Source organism: Homo sapiens, chromosome 9 (genome assembly GCF_000001405.40).
Source record: "Homo sapiens chromosome 9, GRCh38.p14 Primary Assembly".
NCBI classification, from domain to species: Eukaryota; Metazoa; Chordata; class Mammalia; order Primates; family Hominidae; genus Homo; species Homo sapiens.
In genome coordinates this window covers 92037251-92057178 of record NC_000009.12, presented here as the reverse complement: position 1 = coordinate 92057178, position 19928 = coordinate 92037251, and the positions used below count along the sequence as shown (strand labels likewise).

At 40.0% G+C, this 19928-nt stretch overlaps 1 protein-coding gene across 8 annotated transcripts in view, besides 1 other annotated feature; it reads left to right on the top strand.

Annotated features, from left to right (window-relative positions):
• Window positions 1-19928, top strand: part of SPTLC1 (serine palmitoyltransferase long chain base subunit 1) — an 84267-nt gene that overhangs the window by 58235 nt on the left and 6104 nt on the right. For all 8 annotated transcript variants that reach the window (NM_001281303.2, NM_006415.4, NM_001368272.1 and 5 more), the window contains 6 exons: window positions 1685-1774; window positions 7112-7219; window positions 9471-9566; window positions 9911-10007; window positions 11126-11180; window positions 18814-18931. In NM_001281303.2, coding sequence (NP_001268232.1) covers window positions 1685-1774; window positions 7112-7219; window positions 9471-9566; window positions 9911-10007; window positions 11126-11180; window positions 18814-18931 — 564 coding nt within the window. The remainder of the gene's footprint in view (window positions 1-1684; window positions 1775-7111; window positions 7220-9470; window positions 9567-9910; window positions 10008-11125; window positions 11181-18813; window positions 18932-19928) is intronic.
• Window positions 850-1470: an enhancer, noted in NCBI's record as "OCT4-NANOG-H3K27ac hESC enhancer chr9:94817991-94818611 (GRCh37/hg19 assembly coordinates)". NCBI's record gives its function as "activates a minimal SCP1, AML or CMV promoter by ChIP-STARR-seq in naive and primed H9 embryonic stem cells {active_cell/tissue: H9 hESC(naive and primed)}" and the evidence as "EXISTENCE:reporter gene assay evidence [ECO:0000049][PMID:30033119]".

Below are 19928 nucleotides of genomic sequence, written 5' to 3'. Positions count from 1 at the left end.
AGAAATGCTCACAGCATAATGTTTTTAAAATCAGGTCCTAAAACTACAGTAAAATCCTGATTCTGAACAAAGTAATTTATATGTTTATACAAGAAAGACAAAAATTATCACCGTGTGGTATGATTAGCTGATTTATTTAATTGTTTTTTGTACTTTTCCATTTCCCAAGAATCCTACATTGAATATTTTTAAATCTAAGAAAATGTTTTTCCTTAAAGACAGGCAGAGGTAGCATGCCCTGTGTAGAAATTAGGGTGGCATCTCTTCATCCATCACTTCTAACATATTGCTAGCTCCCCAGCTTTCAGTTGTGAGTTGACAGAGTAAAGATGATTGAGCAACATCAGTGATATGTACTTTTTATTCCTCAACAAACTTTTTTTTTAGTGCTACTGCTGTGGGTTGTAAAATACCCCTTAAAGCATTGCTCTGATACTTTCTAATTCTGATCATTTCTAATTGTCCATTGGAGCAGAAACTTAGAGGCAAGAGATCTCTGAGTAAGAAGGTAATGGCAAACTCTATCTGTGGATCTCAGTATTTTTTGCAGTCCCACACACCTGAACCATGTACAGTTTCATACATGTGGGAGATTTATTAGTGACTTGCTCTGAGCAGAGTGTGTGAAGGTGTGTGTTTTTTGAAAAGATCTCTGCCGGGCGTGGTGGCTCAAAGCTGTAATCCCAGCAGTTTGAGAGGCCGAGGTCAGTAATCAAGAGGTCAGGAGTTCAAGACCAGCCTGGCCAACATGGTGAAACCCCATCTCTACTAAAAATACAAAAATCAGCTGAGCGTGGTGGCGGGTGCCTGTAATCCCAGCTACTCGGGAGGCTGAGGCAGAGAATTGCTTGAACCCTGGAGGCGGAGGTTGCAGCGAGCAGAGATGGCGCCACTGCACTCCCACCTGGGTGACAGTGAGACTCCATCTCAAAAAAAAGAAAAGGAGACCTCTCTACCCCACCACCTGGGAACATCATTGGACAAGCTCATAGTCAAATTTTACTTGATCCGATAATACATCAGTGGGGAGTGAGGAGGGAACAGGGTTGCCCCTTTTTTTGGGAGGTGAAGGAAAACGGTTTGAGTTTTTTAACTTTTTGTTATGGAAAAATGCCAACATATAAGAAGGAAACACAGTGGTATAGTGAAGCCCCCTGTACCCTTCTCCCAGCTTTGTTATCAGCATTACATCATTCTTGTGCCATCTGTTCCTCACCCCATCTTCATGATGATGACCTTCATTATAGTTGTTTTGGGTAAAATTGACAGACATTGAATCACATGAATGCAGCCATACAATTTTGACCAGTGATTATACCCATGTAACCCAGGAATGTCAGCCCCATTATGATGTAAAACATTCCCATTTCTTTAGAAAGTCCCTTAGGCCCCTTCCCAGTTGGAGGTTTGGAGGGTTTTGTTTGTGTTTTAATATTCTCAGAGGGCCTAATTAGTTTGTGTGTGTGGCGGGTCACCTAGCTAATGCTGTGAGCTGAAAAACGTCTGAGAGAAGATAGTACTGTTGTTCATCTCAAAATAACCCATCACAAACACTGAGCTTTCAATTCATTCAGAATATTTTTTTAGGAATAAATCTTGTAAGGTGAAAGTGCTGGGGAATATGTAACAGATCTTGTCTTCAGAGTTACTGAAATGTAAGATGTCTGCTTTTTCTCTTTTAAAGAATCCTCGCAAGGCTCGTGTAACTCGGCGTTTCATTGTAGTAGAAGGATTGTATATGAATACTGGAACTATTTGTCCTCTTCCAGAATTGGTAAGCAACCATGTTCAGCTGTAATTTTAATATTTGGACTATTTGACAGATGTGCCTTTTGTTTATGACCGCTTTTAGTGTATAACGTCTGCGTTGCTTTGCGCATTAGGCCTCATAAGCATATTTTGCTCAGATCAGGGAAGAAGAACAACACTGAATGCCAGTGCTGGCCTTCAAAGAGTAATCAAGACTGCTCTGTTGCCCAGGCTGGAGTGCAGTGGTGTGAACACAGCTCACTGCAGCCTTACCCTCCTGGGCTCAAGTGATCCTTCCACCTTAGCTTTCTGAGTTAGCTGGGACTACAGGCACATGCCACCACACCTGGCTGATTTTTCCCTTTTTTGTGGAGTAGGGGTCTCACTGCGTTACCCAGGCTGTTCTCAAACTCTTGGGCTCAAGCGATCCTCCTGCCTCAGCCTGCCAAAGTGCTGGTATTACAGGTATGAGCCACCACACCTGGCCAAAACTTAGCTTTAGCTTTTTTTTTCTCCCCCGCAAGACAGTCTTGCCCTGTCGTCAGGCTGGAGTGCAGTGGCGCCATCTTGGCTCACTGCAACCTCCTCCCCGAGGTTCAAGCAGTTCTCCTGCCTCAGCCTCCCGAGTAGCTGGAACTATAGGCGTGCGCAGACACCCCCAGCTAATTTTTGTATTTTTAGTAGAGACGGGGTTTCACCATGTCGGCTAGGATGGTCTCAATCTCTTGACCTCATGATCTGCCCGCCTGGGCCTCCCAAAATGCTGGGATTACAGGCATGAGCCACTGAGTCGGCCATACGTAGCTTTTAAGATCCAGCTTTATTTAGGTGAAATCAACGTATAAAATACACCTACTTTAAGGGTAAAGTTTGATAAGTTTTGACAGATGTATATACATCTGTATCACTGCAGCCATCCACCACCACAGTCAAGATACGGAATATTTTTATGTAAGACAATGTTTATCCAGAAAGAAAACTTTATCCAGAAAGCTTCCTGATGCCTCTTGGTAGTGAGTACCCATGTTGGCCCCAGACAGCCATTAATCTACTTTCTATTCCTGTAGATTAGTTTTACCTTTTGTAGAATTGCATATGAATGAAAGCATAGCTTGCTTTTTTGTTTTTTTGTGTTTTGTTTTTTGTTTGAGATGGAGTTTCACTTATGTTGCCCAGGCTGGAGTGCAATGGCACGATCTCGGCTCACCGCAACCTCTGGCTCCTGGGTTCAAGTGATTCTCCTGCCTCAGCCTCCCAGGTAGCTGGGATTACAAGCATGTGCCACCATGCCCGGCTAATTTTGTATTTTTAGTAGAGACAAGGTTTCTTCATGTTGGTCAGGCTGGTCTTGAACTCCCAACCTCAGGTGATCCACCCTCCTTGGCCTCCCAAAGTGCTGAGATTACAGGCGTGAGCCACCACGCATGGCCAAAACTTAGCTTTTTAATAGTGAAAGCAGCATAACTGTTTTTAGAAACCATGACCATTGAGATTTCCTTTATTGAGGTGAAATTCACATAACACAAAATTAACCAATTTAAATTGTACAGGACAGTGACATTTATTACATTTACCATGTGTGCAACCATCAACTTTAGGTCAAAAACCTTTTCATGACTCACGAAGAAGACCTCAAACCCATTAAACAGTCACTCCCCATTTTCTTCTCCCTCTAGCTCCCAGCAACTACCAATCTGCTTTCTGTCTCTATGGATTTACCTTTTCTGGTTATTTCCTATAAATGGCATCATATAATATATGACCTTTTCTTTCTGGCTTCATTCACTTGATGTTTTTAAAGTTCATTAACATTGTATACCATGTATCAGTATTTCATACCTTTTTAATGCTGAGTTATAGTCCATTGCATGGATAATACCACGTTTTGTTTTATATGTTCATCCACAGATGGATATTTGGGTTCTTTCTACCTTTTTGCTATTGCAAATAGTGCTGTTGTGAACATTTGTGTACAGGTATTTGTTTGAATTCCTGTTTTCAGTTCTTTTATGTATATATCTAGCAGGGTAATTGCTGGATTATATGGTAATTCTGTGTTTAACTTAATAAGGAACTGACATACTGTTTTCAACAGCGATTGCACCATTTTACATTCCTATCAGCTATATACCAGGGTTACAGTTTCTCTACATCTTTGTCAGCACTTATATTTTCCAGGGTTTTTTGTTGGTTTGTTTTAGCCACCCTAGTGAGCATGAGGTAGTATCTCACTGTGGTTTTGATCCTGTTTCCCCCAAATGGCTAATGATGCTGAGCCTCTTTTCTTGTTTTTTTTTTTGTTTGTTTGTTTGTTTGGCCATGCGTATACCTTTGGAGACATATCTATTCAGGTGCTTTGCCCATTTTTTAAATTGGGTTGTTTTTTTGTTTTTAAAAGAATTCCTTGTATATTCTGGATACTAGATGTTTATCAGATACATGATTTGCAAATATTTTCTCCTATTTTGTGGGGGTTTGTTTCATTTATTTGATACTGTCCTTTGACACACAGTTTTTAAAAATTTTGATGATGTCCAGTTTATGTGTTTTGTTGTTGCTTGTGCTTTTGTGTTTTATTTTAAAATCTTTGTTTAATCTGGCCGGGCACGGTGGCTCACGCCTGTAATCCCAGCACTTTGGGAGGCCGAGGCAGGTGAATCATTTGAGGTCAGGAGTTCGAGACCAGCCTGGCCAACATGGTAAAACCCCGTCTCTACTAAAAATACAAAAAAATTAGCCGGGTGTGGTGGTACACGCCTGTAATCCCAGCTACTCGGGAGGCTGAGGCAGGAGAATTGCTTGAACCTGGGATGTGGAGGTTGCAGTGAGCCGAGATCACGCCAGTGCACTCCAGCCTGGGCAACAGAGCGAGACTCTGTCTCAAAAAAAAAAAAATAATAATAATAATCTTTGTTTAATCCAAAATTATCAAGATTTATTGCTATGTTTCCCCCTAAGAGTTTATAGTTTTCAGTCTTACATTTAGGTCTGTAGTTCATTTGAGTTCATTTTTGCGTATGCGTTGATGAAGAGGTCCAATTTTATTCTTTCACAAGTGGTTATCCAGTTTTGCCTGCATCATTTGTTTAATGTTTCCCCATTGACTGGTCTTGGCACCCTTGTTGAAATTAATTGACCATAGATGTATGGGTTTATTTCTAGACTCTATTCTGTTTCATTCTTCTATATATCTGTCCTATGCCAGTACCACACTGTGTCAATTATTGTAGCTTTGTAGTGAGTTTTGAAATCAGGACATGTGAGTTCAACTTTGTTCTTTTTCAAAATTATTTTAGCTATTTGGGGTCTCTTGAAATTCCATTTGAATTTTAGGATTAGCTTTTCCATTTCTGTAAAAAGTATTGTTGGGATTTTGGTGGGGATTGCATTGAATATGTAGTCACATTGGGAAGTATTACCATCTTAATGATATTAAGTCTTCCAGTCCATGAACTTGGGATTTTTCCATCTATTTAGATATTTCCTTCAGCAATGTTTTGTGATTTTTAGTATATACGTCCTGCACCTCTTTGGTTAAATTTATCACTAAGTATTTGATTTTTTTATTCTACTATAAATGGAATTGTTTCCTTAATTTCCTTTTTAGATTGTTTACTGCTATTTATAGAAATACAACAGATATTTGTGTATTGCTTTTGCATAATGTAACTTCTGCTGAATTTATTAGCTCAAATAATACTTTTGTGGATCTTATTCTATGTATAAGATTACACCATCTGTGAATAGAGATAATTTTACTTGTTTCTTTTCAATTTGGATGCCCTTTATCTTTCTTGCCTGATTGCCCTGGCTAGGACCTCGACTACAGTGTTGACTACAGGTGGCGAAAATGAGCATCTTTGTCTTGTTCCTGATCTTATAAGGAAAGCTTTCAGTCTTCTACCATTGAGTATGATGGTAGCTGTGAGTTTTTTATAATAACCTTTTATCAGGTTGAGGAAGTTCCTTCCCATTTTTAATTTATTGAGTGTTTTATCATGAGAGGTTGTTGGATTTTGTCAAATTTTTTTTCTGCATTTATTGGGATGATCATGTGGGGTTTTTCCCCCTACATTCTTCTAATGTGTATGTAATACATATTTGATTTTTCCATGTTGAACCACCATTGCATTCGGCCATTGAGATTTTAATCTAGGAGTCTATTAATTGAATAAGGATTCAAAATAAGGGTTCCATATGTTGTTTTTAAATGTTTTCACTATTTCTGAGGAAATCTAAATATATTTTAAGTATCAATAGAAGAGATGTATTTGTTTTCTTCTTTTTGTTTTTGTAAGAGTGTCAATGGTTGATAGAATAATGGGAGGGAGGTAGTGAACCAGAAGATACTAGGACGTATATTATAGGGCTACAGTAATGAAGCAGTGCTAATGGACAGATACGAAACTAAAGATGAAGTGTAGGAACAGCTCAAGTGTAGATAAGCACTGAAGCTGGGCATGGTGGCTCACACCTTTAATCCCAACACTTTGGGTGGCGGAGGTAGGAGAATCACTTGAGCCCAGGAGGTCAAGGCTGCAGTGAGCCATGATCCTACCACTGCACTCTAGCCTGGGTGGCAGAGCAAGACTCTGTCTCAAAAAAAAAAAAAAAAAAATCAGTATTGTGCTGTCTTTTGTTAAGTGAATCATTTTAGACCATCTAAAGGACAATTGATTCTCATCATTCACCCTACTTATATTCTATAAAGTTGCCATGAACACTGGAATAAGAAATACTAAACTATTGCTGCTAGGGCAAATAATAGGGTTAGGTTCCTCTGAGCCTCTGGTTACAACATTTTCATCAACCAGTTGACACAAAACTTGCTTTATGTGTATTTTTGTTTAAAGGTGTCTTATTTAATGTCTGTTGATTCATTGCACTACCACTCATGCCTGAACAAAGCTTCTCTAACACACAAATTTTCTCCATAAGGGACATCACAGCACTAGGAGTAATAGACGGCACTTTAGCATGACACTTGGGGGCGACTCTAAATAGCAAAATCACCAACAAAAAGCACAGAAGTCCAAAAAAGTGGCAGTAAATAGGCCATGAAAAGGGTAGTTGTTCACAGGATCAGAGCTGAAACAGTCGCCTGTTCACCCTCACCTGGGAAAACACGTGTCAGGTAATTCAAATTCTTCACTGCTCTGCACATGCACATATCCGTGATGACAGGAAAAAAGTATTGATATGGAGGTTGCAAATAAGTTTTAATAAGTAGATGAATTTGCACATATAGAATTCACAAGTATTGAGAGTCAGCTGTACATACTTTTTAATCTTAATTTTTTTCTCCATAATATGTTCTATATGGTGCTAATCATTAGTATTTTAACGTTTATATAACACTTAGGTTAAGTTAAAATACAAATACAAAGCAAGAATCTTCCTGGAGGAAAGCCTTTCATTTGGAGTCCTAGGAGAGCATGGCCGAGGAGTCACTGAACACTATGGAATCAATGTAAGTTCCCCTTTTTTAAGAACGTTTCCCCTCTTATAGGAGACATGTAGTTCCATTCTGCTAGGCCTATATTTTTATAGGCACAAGACAGTGTTCCTTATCAGTTTGAAGGGTCACGAAACTTTGGTGTCTGTCACCTCAGTGAGCCCAGGATGAGTCTAGTCAGCCAGACCAGGGAACCCCATCTTCCTTCTGCACTTATAAACTCGGAGTGGGTAGTCATGGTTTGTGCTCTGTTTGCAAAGTTTCATTCGAATAGACTTTTAGTGTCTCTTCTCTAGAAATGGTTAAATTTTGCCTTCCAATTATTTCTTAAAATCATTAGGAATTTCCTGAGTGGTCTTTTCAGAAGTATTCATGACGGCAGAGAAAGGATACTGTTTCTGGTGTTTAAAAATCTGTATTCTATATAATGTGTTTGTGGGAGGTAGATACAGTTACGCGTGCGTGCGTGTGTGTGTGCATGTGTGTGTGTGTCAGAAACACCACTGGCATGCATTCAGCAAAACCTCTTAAAGTCCCAAACAGAATGAGGTGTCATGTTTCCTTTTCTGAGGGAAATGGACCCAGACTGCCCGCAGTGCCTAGTGGGTTTTGCTCCTGGAGCCTCAGGGCAGAGGAAGTCAGCCAGTCTTGAACAGCTGTCTTACCAACCACCATGGGAAGAGTTACAGAAAGCTTTTTCTCCAAAACATGCGCATAAGAGCTGTGCAACCTGTGTTACAGAGTTGAACTATAAAACGTAAAATTGCCTTACATTATCGACATCCCGCTAACCATATAGTCCCAGAGAAAAATGTAAAGCAGAGTGAATATCCCGGGAGGTTGGATGGAAGCACCTCCTCCAAGGCAGACTGACATTCAGCAGTTACATGCACCGAGGAGGTAAATGGAATAAATGGAAAGATAAATGGAAGTGTAATTCAAGCAGATTTAGCAGTACACTACAGCCTTTTTTAAGGCATGAAAATTTTTATGGAGGAAAAAACTTGAACTTCACTGTTGTAGTTTTGTGAATGCTTCCAGCAGTTGTCACTTTGGGAAATACTGTGAGGAAATACTCACAAGCGCCTGAGAGTAGAGAGCAGAATGTACGGGCTTTATTTGGATCCTGATTCAAACAAATGCTGTTAAAAGAAAATTTGGTGAGACAATCAGAGATATCTGAACACTGAATATTTGAATATATTTAACATCAAATTTAAACTTAACATTTAAAAATTGTTAATGTCTTAAGTATGATACTAGTTTTGTGATTATGTTTTGAGAGAGTTTTTATCTTTTAGAAATACACAGTGCAATGTTTATAGATGAAACCCCATGAAGTCTGGGACTCACTACAAAGAAATGATGAGGGTGGTAGGGGATATAGGTGAAGCAAGGTTGTCCTTGAGTTGATAATGTTTGAATCTGGGTGATGGGGATTCTTTGTTCTGTTCTACTTTGTTCAGGCTTGAAATTTTTCATAATGAAAGGTTTAAACATGCTTTTTAAAAAGGGCAGGAGTGCAGAGTTTCTCAAAACTCTGCTGGATCTATGAAACACTAAGGAAAACACTAGCTGTGTTCTGACAATCCATTAACATGGCCATCAGTAAGTAATGATTGAATGCCTACTGTGTGCCCAGAATGGAACTTGGTGCTGAGGGCTGGACCCAAAGATGAGGACCGAAGGAGTTCTGAGTGGTCAGAAAGATGTAGGACTCAAAGCCCATTAGGTCATTTTAGAGCACATTAGGTTCTTCTGCTGTCCAGTTGGTCAAAGATTCCATCGCCATGACGTTTGGATAAATTGACTTATGAAATGCTGAGAGGCAAACTGAATACAAGAATAAAGTGCTCAAAACTTCGATAGACTTTTTATTTATCTCAGTGCATCCCATGAGGAAGGCCAGCTAGACCACTGTTTTAGCGAGGAAATAGTCTTATTTTGTACCTGTGACTACTTTTAATATCGAACAGCTTTGGGTTTTATTTTCTTATAATTTATTTGTCTTTGCTGTGAGTTAATTTGTCATGTATAATGAAATGGTAAAAATGTATAAAATGAGACAGTTTCAGATGGGCCATGAGACTACAGTTCATTCAGCGATAGATGTTATATGGTTTATTTTTTATTTTCATGTAGATAGGTAGTTTGAATCCAGATATTAACAGACAGTTTAATGCTGTTAAATTTTGTCTCTAGGCTTGAAGTTGGCCTTTTTTTTCTTTAAACTGTGGAATAACTGTCACTCCTCCTTTTCCGGCAGATTGATGATATTGATCTTATCAGTGCCAACATGGAGAATGCACTTGCTTCTATTGGAGGTTTCTGCTGTGGCAGGTCTTTTGTAATTGACCATCAGGTGGGTTCTTTTTAAAAACAGGAGCTAAAACTGAAACTAATTTCTCCATTGGTCACCTCAAAATATAATTTTGAAATACGAAATTTTACTTAGTTTATCACACAATTTTTATTTAAATGTCAATTTTTAAAGAATCACTCAAAATATTTCTATTTAGAAATGATCTCACATTTAACAAAAAGTCTTGTTGCTGTTACACGTATAATGTTTATTTATGGCTGGATCTTACCCCCCTCACCACATGTACACACTGTTCAGTAGTTGTTCTAGAGAACTGGTGCCTTTCAAATGTTTACCTAGAAAGGACAGAGAATGTGTATATGTCTTCATTTGTTTCTTCTCAGCGACTTTCCGGCCAGGGATACTGCTTTTCAGCTTCGTTACCTCCCCTGTTAGCTGCTGCAGCAATTGAGGCCCTCAACATCATGGAAGAGAATCCAGGTATAACCCTTTAAAAACCCAAGGAATCAAAGAGATTTCAGGTTACGTTAGTTGTGTTACTGATTTACTTACTGGAGAAATTATTTGCCAGACAAAACTGGTTTGCAGTTACATTATATGGCATTCATAGGAAGAATGGCAGTGAAGAAGCTATTCCTGCCCCAAGGACTTGGGGTCAGAGCTTTTCTCCTGTGCTTGGGGCCAGAGCCAGAGCCAAAGCAAGGCTAGCTCAGATAGTGGGTGGAGATGCTGGGAGGACGAGGGGCTCTCAGCCAGTTCTGGGCCTAAACGTTCCATTGGTGTAAATAAGCCAGTCTTTATTTGGTTAATAGTTTTTTGAGAAATCAGCTGAAGCATGCTGCTTTTTTATCTGTGCAATTTTATAAATATTGTGAGTTTTCACCTTTAGCCTTTGAATCATCAGTTGGTACTGAGGCCAAGCCGGGTTTACCAGCAAAGAACTTACTCAGTGGGAAAAATAAAAAGTCTACTAAGAATTTAAAATGTGGCCTTTGGCTATGACAGTGCCACCTTTGCAAAGCTTAAAACGGAAAGGGAGCAGCAGGCCCTACCCGGTACAGTATTTCTGAATCTTCATCACTGATACTAATTCAGAGAACCAGAAAATGTGTGTCTCTGTGCTCATTCATATGCTTGCTTCTCAGATGGCCTGGCACGCCTACCTTCTGATCAGATACTTTAGTTTTGGGATTTTCCTTGAATAAAAAAGGAAAATATCAAGAAAAGATTGTAAAAATTACTTTACTATAGTTGATTTTTTACCAAATTGTTTAGGATAAAGAAATAAGCAATAAATTTGTACCCTTTGATTCTTAGCCAGATTAGGATCTTGATGAGAACAAGAGGCATTGATTGTTCTTGAAAGCATCATTCCAGGTTTGTTGAAAGTGGGATACTGAGGTGAGAAGGGGCCAGTTAGCACGCACCAGAGACAAAGCTTGGGCCTTCAGGGGAGTATGGGTTCTTGGCTCTGTTAGTATGTAGAAGGATTTGTAGCATTTTAAATTGATGAACTTGATCTGGGTCTTCAAAAATATTTTTAGGTTAGTACTATCATAAGTTTCAAATAGACTCTCAAACGTATTTTTTTCATCTAGGTATTTTTGCAGTGTTGAAGGAAAAGTGCGGACAAATTCATAAAGCTTTACAAGGGTGAGTTTTATATATTTTCAACCAACATAAAGTTTATCTGCACCACACTTAACAACTAATGGAAAGTTTTAAATTTCTAGGCTTGGGTCAGTTTGACCAGATTGCAGCTAAGAAACCAAAAACTTAGTTCACTCACATTGGTTTATTTGTGTAAAACCAGATCATCTGTTTTAAAGAATCGTGACTTTGTTTTTCTGAAAATGAAACAAACTCATTAATAAAATATTACAGCAGTACAGAAGATAGAAAGATGAAAATAACAACCCAACATCTTACCACCAGAAATAACCAGGGTAAACACTGAAGCATCTCTCCATGTCTGCACACACAGGGATGCCATTATATATTATGTAATTAGATGACTGGGTTCATACCATCTGTGTTACTTTTTAATAAATTACTAAGTTTTAACACAAGAAAAAGAAACAAGTGAAATTTTATCAGTGTTTTTTTTTTTTTTTTTTTTTTTTTTTTACTACACAAGAGTCACTTTTTTTTTTTTTATTATACTTTAAGTTTTAGGGTACATATGCACATTGTGAGGTTAGTTACATATGTATACATGTGCCATGCTGGTGTGCTGCACCCACTAACTTGTCATCTAGAAGAGTCACTCTTTAAGATTCCTCTGTAGTTAAAAAAAAAAAAAAATGGAGGTTGGTGATATCTCCAGGCACATTTCTGGTCTTATATAAAGTGATTTCACATTGCCCGAGGTCTTTCTTTTTGCCTTTCCTAAGGTTAAACATGCTTTCTTGGTCATGAAAGTCCTATCTGTGTTCCGGATATGGAAACTGGAGACTTAACTGAAAGAAAAGGACAATTGATAAATGAGTACATCACAGCTGTTCCAGATAAAGAAGGGGCAGAGACATTAAAGTTCTGGGTGTGTCTGTGTGATAGTAACAGCAGTTCTTGCATGATTTATGGTAGAGAGATATATTTGTATTGGTTCCAGTTCCATTGGTTTGTGAAATATTAATATGCCAACACAGCCTAGCATATTGGAGTCACTGGAAATGCATCAGTGCTAGCCTTACATGCCTTTCACTCTATGGTGTTAACCTGCCTTTTTCTAAGTCTAATCTCCACTTACCCCAGCTGTATCACACTTTTTCTTTCCAAAATTCCTAATCCTCTGTCTTCACTCCCCTCACTTTTAGCTAACAGCCTGGCCTTATGCTGTCACTTGGGACTCTGTCATATTTCCTGACAAATCTACACACCTGTGGGTATCTGAACCAGTCTTCCCTCCTGTAGACCAGTAAATGTTGCTCCAACTACCACAGGCCCTTTTTTTAAGGACTGAGTGCCTTTGCTTGTCCCTGCTACTTTGTCATCAGCCTGTCCCCTTTCTTGTGTTATTTGATTAGCAGTCATGTCCACTTTAAATTCCTCTTGCCTGTCACCTGACGTTTCCCTCTGCAACTCCCCATGTCTTTGCTCCTCTCAGTAGCTATCATCTCCACGTCTTCACTTACACTGGCAGCTCTGAGACCTGGCTTCTGCTACTGCCCTTCGCCTGGACTGTTTTTGTGGAGGTCTCCACTGACTGCTGAATCCAGTGGACCATCTTCAGAGCTCATCTTCTTGATGTCCCCATAGTTTTCAGCACAGGTGACCACTCTTTCCTTCTTTGGACTCTGCTACACTGCACGCCTGGATTTCCTTTTACATCTTTGAATGGCTCCATCTCGGTCTCCTCTGAAGGCTTTCTTTCAACACCTTGCTCTTCAAGGCTTTGTCTGTGCTTCTCTTTTCTTCTCATTACCTTCTTGAAGAATTGCCTTCTCCCACACCTGGAGCTCCACATCGTTTCATGACACCTGTATAGAGACAGCTCCCAGCTTCGTATCACCACCCTGGACCACTGCAGCTGCAGGTCTCACACCCAGTTGCCTACTCAGTATCCACAGTTGGAAGACTCCATGGCACCTCACAGTAAACACACATTCATAAGGGTCGCAGGGGCAAACCGTGCTGGTATCTAGATGGTTACAGAGAACAGTAAACAAAATAGCAAAGAGGCCAATGTGACAGGAGGAAAGGAGTGGGAAATCTGGTGGAAGATGAGGGCTGGGTCATGGGCCATCCGCACACAGGGACTTGTGAGCCGTGATGAGGACATTGGCACACAGAGGAAGCCCTGGCATGGTTTTGAGCAAAAAAGTGAAACAGCCTATCTGATACCCTAGCAAAATTACTTTTGCATGGTGTGAAAAAATACATTGAACAGCAGTAAGAACAGAAGCAGGGAGACCAGTTAGGAGATTGACGCAGGTGAAAGGTGATAGTGACTCTGACCATGTTGGGAGCCATGACCTGCGAAGTGTCTGGATTCTGGGTATCTTCTGAAGGGAGAGCACACTGGATCTAGCAGAAGTTCATATGCAGGGTGAGTGAGAAAGAGAAGACTCCAGGTAGAGCTCAGGGGGTTTGGTCAGAGTAAATAGGTAGAGTTGCTAATGAGTGAGAGGGACAGAACTGTGGAGAAATACCTTCTGGGGAAGGTCAGCAGTGGTTATGTTAAGCCCAAAGTGCCCATCAGACATGGAGTGCAGAGCAGCAGCTGGATATACAAGTCTGAAGTGTGAGGGAGAGTACTGAGCTAGAGATAAATGTTTGAGTCTTGGGGTATGGATATTATATGAAGCATTTCAGTGTGAAGAGGTCAGAAACTAGCAAAGACTAGTCTGAGAAAGAGTGGCCAGTGAGGAAGAGGCAGGCTGGAAGAGCCTAGAGTCCTGGAAACCAGGGAAGAAATTGCTTATGTAGGAGGTCAGCCTGTGACATGCCGCTGCTGACAGGCCAGACCAGATAACAGAACACTGATCCTTTGACTTCGTTATGTAGAGGTATTATGACTTGGTGAGTAGTTTCAGGGGAGTGTGGGGTAAAATGCCTGCTTGAAGGAGGTTCCAGACAGGTGGACACGGCCTAGATGACTGTTTTGAGGAGTTTTTCTCTGAAGAGGGACTAAGAAACAAGATGGTGGCTGGAGAAAGAAATTGGTCAAGAGAAGAATATTTCAGTTTAAGATTACTGAGATCAATTTCTGAATAACATCTGGCTAAGTATAAAACATCCTTTCTCCTACTGGTTGACAGTACTGTATCATATACCAGGTTCCCATTTGTACCTAGATCTGTTTTTAAACTGTCTCTTCCATTCCATTGGTATATTTGCTCATTCCTCAGACTCTTTTGATTTTGTCTGTTTTTATCACTGTTTTGGAATACAGGTTTATCACTAGTGTCTGTTTTTATCACTGTTTTGGAATATGGGTTTCTCCAAAATTATTGCTAGAATCTTAATTGGAACTGCATTAAATTTTCTGATGAATGTGGAGGGAAATGTCATCCATGAACATGAGCTCTCTATTTAAATCTCCCTTTGTGTCCTTTAATGGAATTCCTATAAAGCCCTTGTACCTTTATGGAACCTTTAAAGGGAATTTTCAGACATCCTATAGATTTTGTTGCTGTTATGAATGGGGTTGTCTTTTCTGTTATATTTTCTACTTGATTATTGCTGATTCATAAGAATATTATTATTTTCTCTAAACTGACCTTATATCCAGGAGTCTTTCTAAACTCTTAGTATTTCCAGTAATTGTTTCATTGTGTTATGATGATGTGCATGGAAGTCCTGTTATCTGCAATAATGGTGTTCTCTCTTTCCTTCCTAATGCTTTTGCGTCTTAGTTCATTTTCTTATTTTATTGCTTTGGTCTGAGTCCCTAATTTGTATTGAACAGTGGCAATAATAGCAAACATTCCTTCCTTATTCCCAGTATAGAAGCACTTCTTCATTAAGTATAAAACATCATGCTATGGGTTTTTGGTGAGTAGCTTTTATTGAATTATTCCTAGTTTTGTTTTGTTTTGTGGTTTTTTTAAGAGACAGGATTGTGCTATGTTGCCCAGGCTGGAGTGCAGTGGCTATTCACAGATATAGTCAACACACTATAGCCTCAAACTCCTGGACTCAACCAATCCTCCTGCCTTCACCTTCCAACTAGTTGGGACTACAGGCATGTACCTCTGCACCTGGCTAAATGATTCCTAAATTTGAAGGCCTTTTTTTAAAATCATAAATAGACGTTGAACTTTATCCATTTTTTTTACATCTATTAAGGTAAATCATAAATTTGTCTTATGGCTGAATTACATTGAAATATTTTCTGATGTTAAACCATCCTTGCATTCTTGAGAAAACCGTTACTTCATTATAATATCTTTTTCTACACTGTTAGATTTATTTAGCTAATATTTTAATTTGACTTTTTATATCTGTTTATAATTTAAATGGATCTATAACCTTGTACCAACTTTACGTAACATAGGAGTCAGTGTTAGGGTAGCTTCGGTAGATGATTTGGCTATTTTCCACTCTTTCTGCTTCATGGAAGCACTGAGTAAAACAAGGCTTGATCGTTTCTTCAGAAGTTGAGAGTAGGTCTCCCACTTTACAGCCATCTAGGCTTGGGGCCTTTGGTTTGGGAATAGTTGTTGATTATCTCTCATATATCTATATTATTTTAACTTTTTATTTATGTAAATTTGGTTTTGTGTGTTTTCATCATAGTGTGTTTTCTTATTTTTATGCACTGTCTCATTGCACTGTGTTCTTACTCTTCTTCAGCTTCTTACATTTAGCTTTTGGTTTTATTTCGTATTTTCCAATAAATATATTAAAGATAAATATTTTCAAAGGCAGTATCTTCAATGTTTAGTTCTGAGTAATTTTTTTGTTCAATTTTTCTCTAATTTCTCACTTCTCTCATCTCTGAGATTGAGTTTGGGAAAGGAAGTCAACATCCTATGCTGGTTTGCCTCTGTTTTCATTGTAATAGAGATAGTTATTGGTGTCAGGTTCTCCCTATAGACTGTAAGCACACAGTGGAGACCGTGGCTACCTTGGTGATTGCTCTGTCCCTGGGAGCTAGCCCAGTGCTCGTTTATCCACTGGGATAAGATGATATGTTTGGCAAAGTCTTTTGTTAAGGAATAGTATAATAGACTCTGAAACACGGCTTCGCTGAACTCAAGCTATAACTGTGTCCGTTTGGTTTTAATTAAACTCATCTGACATTCAGCATCTAGGCAACCAGAGACAGGGCATTTTGTTTAATTCCTTCTCTCACTAGCATGTGAAATGAGACCATTTGATCAAAAAGCACAAGTTAGATCTGGACCTCAGGTGCCTTGTATTTCTTTTCTTTTTTTTTTTTTTTCTTTTGAGACAGAGTCTTGCTCTGTCACTCAGGCTGGAGCACAGTGGCGCGATCTCAGCTCACTGCAACCTCCACTTCCCAGATTCAAGCGATTTTCCTGTCTCAGCCTCCTGAGTAGCTGGGATTACAGGCACGTGCCACCACACCTGGCTAATTTTTGTATTTTTAGTAGAGACGGGGTTTCACCACATTGGTCAGGCTGGTCTTGAACTCCTGACCTCGTGATCCCCCCAACCTTGGCATCCCAAAGTGCTGGGATTATAGGTGTGAGCCATCGCGCCTTGTATTTCTTGAGGAAAATTGAGGCCATTTGATTCATATGAAATGCTATTTGGAAAGCAGTTTTTTTTGTTGTTTTTTTTGTTTTTTGCTTTTGTTTTTGTTTTTGTTTTGAGACAGAGTCTTGCTTTTGTTGCCCAGGCTGGAGTGCAGTGGCACGATCTCAGCTCATTGCAACCTCTGCCTCCCAGGTTCAAGCGATTGTACTACCTCAGCCTCCCGAGTAGCTGGGATTATAGGTGTCCACCACCACACCTGGCTAATTTTTATATTTTTAGTAGAGACAGGGTTTCACCATGTTGGCCAGGCTGGTCTCAAACTCCTGACCTCAGGTGATCTACCTGCCTTGGCCTCCCAAAGTGCTGGGATTACAGGCGTGAGGCACCACACCTGACTGAAAGCAATTTTTTAATACTGTGAGAATACATGACCTTTAAAAAAAAAAAGATACTTGATATATGCGTTTAACATGGTCAGAATTTACACAGGAAATGGGTTTTCAAAGTGTATTGCTTAGTTTCTACATTAGTAAAGAACTAATCTAGAAGGTTCCCCCACATTCCACATGCTCAAGATTCCATGATTCAGACCTGTAGCCTGCTTTATTGAGAGATCTAGCATGATATATTTATATTTAAAGAAAGGAGACGCTAATTAATAATGTTCCAAGGGTGATTGGAAGGCCAGGTCAGATGAGTTTCCAGAATTCACATTATTGTAACACACAGTAGTCATTCTGTAAAGGCTTGTTGAGTCCTAAACTGGGAAGATGCCATTGTGCTACCTAGTACTTTTTATTGTCATTTCATTCTGAGGGAAAAACAAATCGTTTTAGGTGAAACAAACTAAATGAAAGGAATCTAAAATGTTTAGCTCAGTTTCAAATAGACATATATCACATTTGTGTCCTAGGAGGTAGGTCAAAAGTCAAATAATATTTGTTGTTATAGGATAAAATAGACTTTAAATGAACCTGACTAGATAGTAGCCGAGATCGTGCCACTGCACTGCAGCCAGCCTGAGTGACAGAGCGAGATGCCATCTCAAAAATAATAATAATAATAATAGTAGTATGACATAGCATCTCATGGCAGCTGTAGTAAAAATACAGGATTAAATTTAATTTAATTTAAAAATACAGGATTTGGCCCCTAAAGATCTATCTTTCTCCTTGAGAAGCTACAGATTTTTGTGCTATTAATCCTAAGTAAAAAGAAAATAATTTTAATCCAAGTAAAATCTAAAACTTAACATGCAAATAAGGACGTTTTTCTATCTAAACATATTGCTGTTAGTCAAAATATAAGGTATGTTTGGTATTTGTTGAGTTTTTCTTTGAGACAGAGTTTTGCTCTGTCACCCAAGCTGGAGTGTAGTGGCACAATCTCAGCTCACTGCAACCTTGACCTCCTGAGTTCAAGCGATCCTCCCACCTGAGCTTCCCAACTAGCTGGGACTACAGGCGCAAGCCACCACACTCGGCCAATTTTTTGTTTTTTGTTTTTGTTTTTGTTTTATTTGTAGAGATGGGGTATAATGTTGTTAATGTTAGAAATCATCCCTGTAATTTATGAGAGACAAAAACTGAAGACATAGATAATAAGCAAGGAAGCATAACATAAACTGTAGTGAGTAGCTTGTGAAGGATCCAGACAGGATGAAAAATAGCAAATGATGGAGCAGAGCCTTCCCTAAAGTGGGTGATGAAGAAGGCCCCAGCAGCAGGCAGTGCTGGAGCTGGGCCCTGGCACATGCAGCCAACACAGGGAAGAACAAACATTGGGGGCGAGGGAGCACATGGCAAGGGAATGACAGGCCAAGGTGGGGCCCAGAGGGCCTGTAAGGAGGCACAGACTCCCTGGTGGGAGGCTGGGGCCATGAGACCCGGTCCTGCACTCAGGAAGCCACATTGCAGGCAGACTTTTTTAGATGAGGAAGCACTGCCCAGAGTGCCTCGTTTCCCTTTCTTTGTTGGAATTGGAATGATGCTTCCCATCAGTCGCAAGCTTCTGTACGTTCACTGTGCCTTGACATTGTGGACTTCTAACATTATTTCTCCGTGAGCGATCTTCAAGCCTGGAAGGGACTTACAGCTGTGTGTGTGTTTCCCTTCTTCAGCATTTCTGGATTAAAAGTGGTGGGGGAGTCCCTTTCTCCAGCCTTTCACCTACAACTGGAAGAGAGCACTGGGTCTCGCGAGCAAGATGTCAGACTGCTTCAGGAAATTGTAGATCAAGTAAGTATCCGTTGACTTGAGGCATCCCCCCACACCACTTCTGCCCTTGCCCCAAGCAATTTTTTAATGTTAAATTTTTAAGAAAAGTCTCTTTGCCCTGAGAGAGAAGAGGGTAGAAAGGAAGATGCTGGTGACCCGCTCTTGACATGGAATCCTAATCCTCCAGGTCCTTCCTAGCTTCTGGCCATGGTAACAGGCAGCAGGCCCTCCCATTGGGTCAATGTGTGGCTCCCTCCAAAGATATTGTGTTTTGTACCACTTTGCATTTAAATATACTTGGCCTCTCCTCTGAAAAATTAGCCTTGCAGAAAACTCACTTGCTCACCATTTTACAAAGCCAGGCTTTCCTATGTGTAGTTGGGGGAGGCATTGTGTGTGGGCATAGCACACATTCCTGGACGGCTGGCTGTCCCCGCAGCACAGCTCAGGGACAGTCCACTCACAGTCACCCTGAAGTCAGGATGCTCTTGTAAACGGAAAGGAAGACCGCTTTTTATAACATACCTAATTTGGGGAGATTTATTTAAATTTCTTTATCTTCCAAAAGTTATTTTACTACTAATTGTCTAAGAAACACATCACCAGGGAAAACTGCTTGCCCCTTTTCATCCAGTAGCACTACCCCTCCAGAGTGCTTCCTGCCCTGGGCACGCGGGTTTACAGTGGTTCAGAGCCAACAGAAGTTTCTTTAAAAGGGGGAGGAAGAGCAGCGGAATAACCTGGGCAGGAAGGACTCAGGACGGGCAGTGGGATGCCACCCACCTTGCACCCCTCTTCCAAGTCCTGGGATGCTGGACATCTGCTTTCAGAAGAATCTGGACTTTTATGTGGGCTGCTGCTGCTCCTTTGAGAAGAATCTGACATATACCTAGTATGTATTTGAGAATGAAAATGGGCATGATTCTGCTTCCTTGTCCAGAGGCTGTAGCTATGAGCAATGCTACTAGGTTTCTGGGGTCATAATGGCAGCTACCACCTGTCATGTGCCTTTCCTAGG